Source organism: Homo sapiens, chromosome 7, assembly GCF_000001405.40.
Source record: "Homo sapiens chromosome 7, GRCh38.p14 Primary Assembly".
Classification (NCBI taxonomy): domain Eukaryota; kingdom Metazoa; phylum Chordata; class Mammalia; order Primates; family Hominidae; genus Homo; species Homo sapiens.
Genome location: NC_000007.14, coordinates 23265053 through 23275336, shown reverse-complemented (window position 1 = coordinate 23275336; position 10284 = coordinate 23265053). Strand labels below are relative to the sequence as shown.

The window sequence follows — 10284 nt, the reverse complement described above, 5'->3', positions numbered from 1 at the left end:
ACAACTTTTTACTTGTCAAAAACTATAAATGAAATTGAGGCTGGGTACAGTGGCTTACTCCTGTAATCCCAGCGCTTTGGGATGCTGAGGCAGGAGGATCCTTTGAGGCCAGGAGTCTGAGACCAGCTTGGACAATATAGGGAGACCCTCATCTAAAAAAAAGAAACAACTGTAAGTGAAATTGAAAAGCAAATGATGAATCAGAAAAATAATTACAATACCAAGGTCTTGTCTCTTCCCACACTTTATTTTTCAGGAAGGAGAGAAAAAGAATGTCATGTCTAACATATAGTAGATGGTTTTAGTTACAAACAGAGGTGAAATCCTTACTGATCAAGTTGCCATGAAAAACCAGGGACCTCATCTTTGGAAAGTCTTAATATATGATTTCAAATATGTGCAGCGACTGTACAAAAATTTGGAAATATACACAAGAGTGTCACTCAGCATCATGCCTGGTATATAAAAAGCACTAACTAAATGTCCATGGAATAAATGAATATATGAATATCATTCCTTCACTCAGCCAAGCAAAGTAGGTTGTCACCAAAATACTCCCACCCATTTATGAGAGTAGTATTTTTTCTGAGTCTAGCAAGTGTGCACATCATACCACAGGCTTGGGCCTGTTATTGTTCCATCAGGAGTTCATGAGTGTGTATTGAAGTGGGATTCAGTTAGCTTGGAACATGATCTTAGAAACTGGACTACATTGGCTTTATGCATACAGTTACATGGAAAGCTGAAAGTATCCCGCCTCTTCTTGCAGTTAACCTGGGTTAGGCTCTAATCAATAGTAGCTTCTCTCCTTACTCTCGGGACACAGTGTTTCTATCCTACTAGTTACCTAAGACTTTATAAGTGAAACATAAAAAATAATGAAAAGAAGCCTTGCTAAGTTGCTTTTATCAGTTTCACAACATGGCTGAAGCTGCCTGCAGTATAATCCCTCTCCCCATCTCTAAAATGACATTTAACCTATAAAAAATTCAACTTCCCCAAACCACAATATCTATTTAACAATAATCTTTAGGAAAAAAAGGTTAATAGCCACTCCAGCACATCTCACATCAATGGCACTGAAAAGTGAGCTTCAGAAACAAGGTCGAAATTTAAGAAACTCCTTTAAATTCTTGGTTTTTGAGTAGCGGATCCTTTTCCTGGTTTCCCGGGAAGAACACGGCTTTTGCACGGTTGAGAAAGACACTCAGGCCTTTGCTTCTGACCACATTCCCAGGACTATTTTCTATTGGGTTGTATTCCTTGTGTTTTCTGAAAACAATCTGTTGGTTAGTTATTTTTAAAAGATCTTCAGTTGAAATATACAACTTTCTACAATCTTTTTCATGCCAGGTATAAAAGGATTCATTCCATTTAACATGATTGACAGTTTGCAAGACACTGGTGTCTTATGAAAGTACATTTATTTACTCTTGTTCATGCAAGAAATGTGCCTGCTTACTATAATTTGAGACTATCATGTTAAAATTAAGTTGACATAATTTTGTAAAGTTACTGAGATCTGGTAGCATCTTTTAGGATTAAAAACAAACCACAACAAGATTAACAGGCCAGTTTGGTATTCACCATTCAATGTAATATTTTCCTCCCCTACACAAAATGTTTAAAAGCAAAAAAGGGAAAAATGCCTATTTACACAGAGATATATTCACTTTTGACAATACACTATAGTGATATAAAGCGTAGGAACCAAAAACTTACTTGTACACCAAGAGGGAGATCACAGTGACAAATATGGCCAAGCAGCCAACGGAGATCAGGGCACTGTTTGCCATCCTTAAAGGCGAGGCTGGGTCTTAAAACAGAAGCAAGAGCATGTTAGTTATGTCTTCCACCTAGAGGACATGCCGCTTATAATGCCATTAAATAAATGAGGAAGGGAGCCGTCACAGAAGATATATGGCTCCCTCTGGGCTTTCAGTAATCTTTTCTATTAAATAATACATAGTCTTTGGGTCAGCTTATCTTCTATTTAGAGAATGAGTCAGCATGTCTGGAACACTGTGGTAAGGGCGCGGGGGAGAGATGTCACGTCCTGGAGACACCTGCTCAGGTCTTGGGTGACCCAGCAGCGCCACCGTGTGGAAGGGCTCCTGTGATCAGGCGGCCGTGCCTCCAGCTTCCTCTCTCTCTACTTACCTTCTAGCTGTGCTAAAAATCCTGAAAGTTGGCCATACTCCCCGTGCTCTTTCAGACCTCCGTGCCCCCTTACAGGAGTGCCCTTCCCCGGCTCATGCCTGTAATACCAGCACTTTGGGAGGCAGAGGCAACATAGTGAGACCCCAGCTCTACAAAAAATTAAAAAATTAGCCTGGCATGGTGGCGCATGCCTGTGGTGCCAGCTACTCAGGAGGCAGAAGTCAAGGATTGCTTGAGCCCGGGAGGTCGAGGCTGCAGTGAGCCATGATTACCCTACTGCACTGCAGCCTGGGTGACAGAGCAAGACCTTGCCTCAAAAAAAAAAAAAAAGATCACCACCTTTAAAGTTTTCCATGTAACATCTGTCACTGCTCACAGAAGCAGGGACTTCTTTGTCTTGGTTTCTACTCGATCTAGAACTGTATCTTCTGCCTAGAACTGTGCTGAGCATGGAGTAGATGCTCAGGGATATTTGTTGAAAGAATTGCAGGTGCTTCATGAATATCCATTGAATCGATACATAAAAGTCACTTCAACTAAAGTCTATAGGTTTGCTTTGAAGAATGATCTATTTCTGAAATTCTGCCTTTGAAACCCAAGCTATTAAGCTGCAATCCCCACTGAATTAAAACCTTTCCTTCTGAGCATTCATTTTCTCTTTCTCACTCTCTCTCTCTTTCTCTCTCTCTTTTTCTCTCTCTTTCTCTCTCTCTCTCTTTCAGACAGGGTTTTGCTGTGCTGCCCAGGCTGGACTTCTGGGCTCAAGGGATCCTCCCGCCCCAGCCTCCTGAGTAGCTGGGACTACAGGTATGTTCCACTGTGCCTGGCATTCTGAGCTTTCTTTATTTGGCTTTTGAAAATGACTCAGGTCCCACCTAAAGTTATCACTCACTACAAGAAGAATTAAAGGAAAGCAAATGTCTAAAACATCTAATTCACATAAGAGATCAGTGGTTTGCCAGTGCAGAGGAAGCTTAATAGAATGAATTAAGACTCTAAAGGTAATTCTAAACAAACTTTGAGCTGTGGCAGCACTGAAGGAATAACATTAGCAGCTTCTGATGGTGACTGCATCCGAGTCCATGGCCACTTGGATGCAGAGGTTTTGGCTCCCTTCTCCAGTTCCCACCCTCCCCGGCTCTCCACCCAGGCCCTGATCCACCTTCCTGGGCAGGAAGCAGGGCACCCTTGCATCGTTGGTTTTGCTTTTAAATCTGCACCTTGGATATCACCAACAATAAGCCCTCACGCAAATAATTAGATGTATGATTATTTTCTTTTAATGGGATTAAATCTCTTCTTTTAATGGGATTAAAACTGCCATTTATATTATTAATGAGAAAATTTTTTTTTTAGTTTTTTTTGTTGTGTTTGTTTGTTTGAGATGGAGTCTCACTCTGTTGGCCAGGCTGGAGTGCAGTGTCTTCATCTCAGCTCACTGCAACCTCTGCCTCCAGGGTTCAAATTATTCTCCTACCTCAGCCTCCCGAGTAGCTGGGACTACAGGCGCCCACCACCATGCCTGGCTAATTTTTGTATTTTTAGTAGAGATGGGGTTTCACTATGTTGGCCAGGCTGGCCTGGAACTCCTGATCTCAAGTGATCTGCCCACCTTGGCCTCCCAAAGTGCTGGGATTACAGGCGTGAGCCACCGCGCCCAGCTGGAAATATGTGTTTTTGTTTGTTTGTTTGTTTGTTTTTGTAGCTGGAAATACATGTTTAAGAACATATTACCTTATGAGATAGGCTTCAAGTTCAAAGGAGTTATAAGTGAATGAGCTATTAGATTGTACCTGACAATACTCCAATTAAGGAGTGAAGTAAGTGCTTTAACGCAGGGGTCCCCCACCCCCAGACCGATGGCCAGTACTGGTACGGGTCCTCAGTCTGTTAGGAACTGGGCCACACAGCAGGAGGTGAGCAGCAAACGACTGAGCATTATCGCCCAAGCTCTGCCTCCTGTCATCTCAGTGGCAACATTACATTCTCATAGGAGTGCAAACCTTATTGTGAACTGCACATGCGAGAGAGCTAGGTTGCATGCTCCTTATGAGACTCTAACTAATGCCTGATGATCTGAGGTAGAACAGTTTCATCCCGAAACCATCCCCCACCATCCCCGTTACACGGAAAAACTGTCTTCCACAAAACAGGTCCCTGATGTCAGAAAGGTTGGGGACTGCTGCTGTAATATGTACACAACTTAGTCTTTCCCTTTCATCCTACCACGTAGCACTTCTTCTAAGCCACAAGTAATATCTTACAACAAAGTTGATTATCAGTGACAGTCAGCTAGGGCCATTAGGGTAGAGCCCTAATTTGGAGGTTGGGGGAAGTTGGATGCTACCAGTAAATGCAAATTTCTAAATGAAATTCCTTTGTCTTCTTTGTTAACATTGTACCTTTCCAAGCATTCAGAGGGAAGAGAGTAGTTTTTCTGGTGAACATGTGAGGAATAATAAGTTGGTTTCTTACTGTGTTCTGTAATGCTCGGTAGAGTTTGGGAAGGGAAAGAGAGGATGCATGGTAAGTTAGAAGGGACCAAGGAGAACAGCTTGTGTCTCATTTCTCTTCCAGGCTTCATATCTTTGCTCAGGTGGATTTTCATGAAAATGTGATATCAGCCTCTCCTTTGTTGTTGTTTCATTGGAGAACACTGCTATTTTTTGATATTGGCCTTTAAACTTTCTCCTTGAAATACAAATCTATTCAAGCGTGCAGTGATCATATCCCATTGTTACTGGTCCATGATCACAGCTGATTTTTTTTCATCAAAAGGCTTTTCTTTGGCCACTATTTCACCAGATGTCTCATCACTTCCCTAAGTAGATTTGCTGTTGGATTGTAATGCCAGTCCTCAGATCCTTATTAATAAGAGTTCAATGAATTTTGTACTGAAATAGAATTAAACATTGAAAACAAAGGCCTAAATAGCTTTAGTATGGGATACACACTTTACTTGCAGTATGAAATGCTCATATGGCCATAAAACAAAACTCACCTCTGTCAGGAACAGAAATCAGGGTGCTCGTGAGAGCCAGGCTTGTGTCATCCCCCAGGGTGAGGTTCACACAGTACGTCCCAGACCCATTGAAGGTTCGTCTCACAGTCAGCAGACACATCTCATCCACATCCACAGGGCTGCAGACTGTGTTCTGGGTGATCTCGCAGGTGGGGTCAGAAATGATGGTACAGACCTCCGTGGGAATGCTGCGACAGGGGAGGTGGGCGAGGGCGCACAGGGCACAGAGAAGGGGAGAGAGGAAGGTCAGATCCATTTTACAAAGGGAAAGTCATTACATTTCTATGAAATTGAATTCCACCTCATTGTTACTCAAACTATAAGATGCTGAATTGTTAGTCTTATAATCTGCTCTTAAGCAAGCCTGTGCGCTGAGCTATGCCTTTCTCTGCATCCTCAGGAAAGTGAGGCCCTGGGGTGGAGGAGAAAAAAAAGATCTCCCCCAGGGGAAGGGGCTGATGGAAACCACGTGAAGCCCAGCTCACTCCCTCTATATTCCTTCTACATCCCTAGAATGTTCGAAGATGCAGATAGCTTGGGTGTTAGGCAGACATATTATTAGATGCCATAGTTGGCCCTGCCTAGGTTCCTGTAGAAGTGTAACAGCAACAGCAGCAGCTGTTTTTGCAGGACTTATTATGTGCCGGGCACTGAATTTTATTTATTTATTTATCTTTCCTCAGAGACCTTTGTTCTGAGTGAGTTTTAGATATATGACATGATCTTGCTTATTCCTCTCAATAGTTTTTTTGTTTGTTTGTTTGTTTTGAGACAGAGTTTTGCTCTTGTTGCCCAGGCTGGAGTGCAATGGCATGATCTTGGCTCACTGCAACCTCTGCCTCCTAGGTTCAAGAGATTCTCCTGCTTCAGCCTCCCGAGTAGCTGGGATTACAGGCACCTGCCACCACTCCTGGCTAATTTTTGTATTTTTAGTAGAGATGGGGTTTCACCATGTTGGCCAGGCTGGTCTCAAACTCCTGACTTCAGGTGATCAACCGCCTCAGCCTCCCAAAGTGCTGAAATTACAGGTATGAGCCACAGCACCCAGCCTCTCTCAATAGCTTTTTGAAGAAAGTAACATTACCCCAGTTTAACAGATGACAAATCAGGGAGAGAGATTAACGAGTCCAGGTCATACAAGCAGCCAGGGGTGGAGCTGGGACTTGAACAGAAGAGGTTTGACTCATCTGTCCTTGATGCTGGGCTACCTGCCATTGCTGTCCTGACCGCTATCTCATGGCAGCCTTCTTAGATGGAGAGACCAGGCTCTGATGCTGGACTCATGGGGCGGGGCCTGGGATGGGGACAGTCCCCCTTCTCACCAGCCAGGCCTCTCGCAGCAGCTTCACTCCCTGGGTCAGCTTTCACTGTTTTCTGCCACCCTCACCCTCATTCTGGTCCTCTCCCCAAGGTGGAGAGCTTCTTAGCTCTTCTCTTCTACCAAATAAGGCCACATCTTCATACCACTTCATTCTCCTGATTAATTTATGTATCTACACACACATATATTTTAATCAGGTAATTTATATATTATATGCAAATGATTTGCTAATGTATATTTAGTTAATCGATATAGTATTTATATATTCATTCATTTATATTTAGTTTATTACATATGGTCATGACCAAATCATAGGAAACCAAATTATATAATGCATTGGAAAGAGCTTTGTAAATTCTAAAGAGAGAGGATTATCAGGCGTTGCTATTAATGTTAGCATAGACAACTACCTGGGAGCTTAAGAGCACTCCTGTGAGCTGCTCTCTCCTGGCCACCAGCATTCCATTGGTAGGCAAGTTTTGTGATCACTGGTGGCCTCAGTTGCCTCATCTGCAAAATGGGGAGGCTCATACGATTGTTGTGAGGATTCAATATGAGAACAGGTATAAGGTGTTAAAAAATTCAGTTAAGTGTTCAAACAGTTATCATAATTATTATTCAACTTAATTGTTAAAGCTTTCTCAATTGCTCAACTGTAGCAAAACATGTGTGTGCTTGATAGCACCTCCTAGGGACCTTCCTGTCTAGGGTTACCAGTAAATAGGAATTCAAATCAATAGGAATTCAAATCAACTTAAAAGGGGTAACTGGTGGTCAATGCCTTTGTTCAGACTTGAGGTCCTCAGTTGACCCACCCATGCCTCTGTCGGAGATAATATACTCACCTCCCTTGGCAGGTCACGACAAAGTCTATTAGGGAGCTTTCAGGCCATGGCACCGGCATCAGGACGTCTGTCATCTGGATGATGTTAACCTCTAAGATTCCCTCTAACAAAATAACCCCCAGAGAAAAACACATCAAAATACAACAGAAATCAAACAAAGCCAAACAATCACTCTGGTATAGATTGAATGTTTGTGTCCCTCCGAAATTCATATGTTGAAACCCCCAAGGTGATAGCATTAGGAGGGGGGTCTTTGGGAGGTAGTTAGGTCATGAGGGTGAAGCCTTCATGTGTGAGATTAATGCCCTTATGAAAGTGACCCCAGAGAGCCCTTTTGCCTCTTCCACCACATGAGGACACAGCAAGAAGACTGCTATCTGCCATCTATGAACCAGGAAGTGAGTCCTCACCAGCCACCGAATGTGCTGGTACCTTGAACTTGGACTTCCCAGCCTTTAGAACTACGAGAAATAAATTCCTGCTGTTGGTTTATAAGCCACCCAGTCTATGGAATTCTGTTATAGAAGCCTGAATGGACTAAGGTACAGCTCTTAAGACATCAGAAAGTGAAAAAAATTAAAAAAGGAAGACAGCCCTCTTGCCATACAGAAACACATCAGATCTGGCAATCTACCCCCATAGCTTAGGATACATATCCATGCAGCATTTCCAAAGTCAAACTGAACTGTTTTTCAGTCCAGCCTAGATTTTTGTTCCTAGAGCCTTTGTGTGCATCAGAAAGTAGCACTCCATCTTGGAAAGTGTTTCAGGAAAAGGTAATCCTGGGTAGACGCAGCCCCAGGCTCAGGCCTTGGCCAGCTTCTCAAGTGGCTTGGACTCAGGGGACACTGCTTGGGCTTCCACCTCCATCCTCACTCCCAGAACTGGTGAGCACAGGTTGGGCTTCAGTTCCCCTCTGTCTTCTCTGTTGTATGCCTTAGGGCTGTGCCCAAATGCACAGCCATGTGTGGTGGCCTGCTCTTTCCCCTTTTCACATACAAGTCTGACTTTGTGAAAATTAACTAGGGGAAGACAGTGGAAGTTGTAGGAACTCGATGCTAGCCTTCCTTTACCCTACATACCCCATTCAGATGGCTGGGCTGCAGAGGCGGGATACAGGCCCAGGGCAGGCTCATTAGCATGCGGCCTTCACAGAAGGCTTGTTTCCACCAGGATGTGGAAGGAAGGCCGGGGAGGCAGGTGGGAATCTAGAAATGAATGGGGTCTTTGCTCTTGCATGTGTGGTGTCATCTTAGACAAGCAGAGGGGTGCCCTTACCACCTACCTCTACCCCTTCAGAGTTAGCAGAGAGAGTGGGTGACCCTAGGTGGAGTCTAGCATCCTTCCTCACTGGTCATCATCTTCAGCCTTACCTACAATTGTGATGGTGGCTTGAAAGTGGCCATATCTGTTAATCTGGCAGTTTTCATCAGGAATCCTACTCAGCTCCAGGGGGTTGTCACCAGCAGGTCCTGGGGTGTTTGAATCATAAGATTTTAGAGTAGTTGCTACGAACATAAAAGATACATGTGATATAATAAAAAATCTAAACATTTGCCATTTGCTTTTTAGAAAAATATCAGGAACACTATACTATGAAATTGCTATAGAAATTTGAACTAAATGTGTCATAATTTACACAGATGTGAGAGCTATAAGGTATTATAATTGCTAAATTATGTAAGGAAGCATAATCCCACATTTTGTGTGAACACAAGAAGCAAATAAGACGTTGAAACTGGCCGGGTGCAGTGGCTCATGCCTGTAATCCCAGCACTTTGGGAGGCCGAGGGGGGCAGATCATGAGGTCAGGAGATCGAGCCCATCCTGACTAACATGGTGAAACCCCGCCTCTACTAAAAAATACAAAAAATTAGCCAGGTGTGGTGGTGGGCGCCTGTAGTCCCAGCTACTCAGGAGGCTGAGGCAGGAGAATGGCGTGAAACTGGGAGGCGGAGCTTGCAGTGAGCCGAGATGGCGCCACTGTACTCCAGCCTGGGTGACAGAGCGAGACTCCGTCTCAAAAAAAGGTTGAAACTGTATTAAAATGTGTGATACAATGGTCATGAAGAAATAAACCTGGCCATACTAGATGCAGTTATATTTTAATTTTGGAAGCAGGTATTCTGGGCTCAAATTCCAGCTTCCCTTGTTTTTAGCTGTTTGAGACCACAGGCACATCATTTAATCTGTTTTTGCCTCTATTTGCTCATCTGTAAAATAAGAACAATACCTGCTGTCCTCTGGGGGCTGAACTATGAAACTTAAATGAGATAAAGTATATAAAACCTGCTGCTCATCACTGCTGCAGAGGGAGTACTTAATAAATCACAGTTTCTTTCTTTCAGTAATATGGGAAAAGATCATTCTTTCCCTGTTTGGATGTCTCACAGCTCCAAAGCTTAAATTCTAAAAGTCTTACTGTGATGAGCAGAGATGTGAGGAAGGAAAGGAGGGAATACAAGACATTTTTGAAAAATAAGCCTTGAATATAATTAGAGCAAAGAATCTAATGCCCTATTAGTTACAATTTAACAGGCTCTAATTAAGACATCGCTGCTCCTTTAGCAAGATAAAAAATCTAGAAAGAAAATAACGATACTGAAAATACAATCTTCTTTTTAATTTCAAAAGACATGTGAAGTAGACTCAGTCTTGGGGAAGGACATCAAAGCCTCATAAGAGCTGCATCTCTAACTTAGTGACATGTGAGTGAAGCAGGCTGGGAGATTTCCCCAGGGCTTCTCAGAATCGTCAGCGGGTGAACATCCCTGTGATTTTCCTGTGCCCAAAGCAGATTTCTCAGAGCAGTTCTCAGAACAGGTCTAGAAATGACTGCTCCATGGCACACACTTTGGGAAATGCTGCTCAGGTAAAGGCCAGAAAGGCCCAGACACTGTGTTAGATCGAATGCAGTGGTTTACCAGCAGGAAGAA

The 10284-nt window shown here is 43.3% G+C and overlaps 1 protein-coding gene across 5 annotated transcripts in view, besides 1 other annotated feature; it reads right to left on the bottom strand.

Moving 5' to 3' along the window:
• Positions 1 to 228: 228 nt before the first annotated feature.
• Positions 229 to 10284, bottom strand: part of GPNMB (glycoprotein nmb) — a 28334-nt gene continuing 18278 nt past the window's right edge. For 2 of the 5 annotated variants that reach the window (NM_001005340.2, XM_047419776.1), the window contains 5 exons: positions 8722 to 8856; positions 7349 to 7451; positions 5162 to 5370; positions 1723 to 1816; positions 229 to 1272 (listed from right to left, as the gene is read on the bottom strand). In NM_001005340.2, coding sequence (NP_001005340.1) covers positions 1113 to 1272; positions 1723 to 1816; positions 5162 to 5370; positions 7349 to 7451; positions 8722 to 8856 — 701 coding nt within the window. In that variant the 3' untranslated portion in view covers positions 229 to 1112. Of the gene's footprint in view, positions 1284 to 1722; positions 1817 to 5161; positions 5371 to 7348; positions 7452 to 8721; positions 8857 to 10284 lie in introns of all 5 variants that reach the window. The other 3 variants (XM_005249578.4, XM_017011678.3, NM_002510.3) reach the window with 3 other exon arrangements.
• Positions 3465 to 3669: a silencer, noted in NCBI's record as "fragment chr7:23311287-23311491 (GRCh37/hg19 assembly coordinates)". NCBI's record gives its function as "represses an EF-1alpha promoter that drives an FKBP-Casp9 reporter gene in an ReSE screen in K562 erythroleukemia cells {active_cell/tissue: K562}" and the evidence as "EXISTENCE:reporter gene assay evidence [ECO:0000049][PMID:32094911]".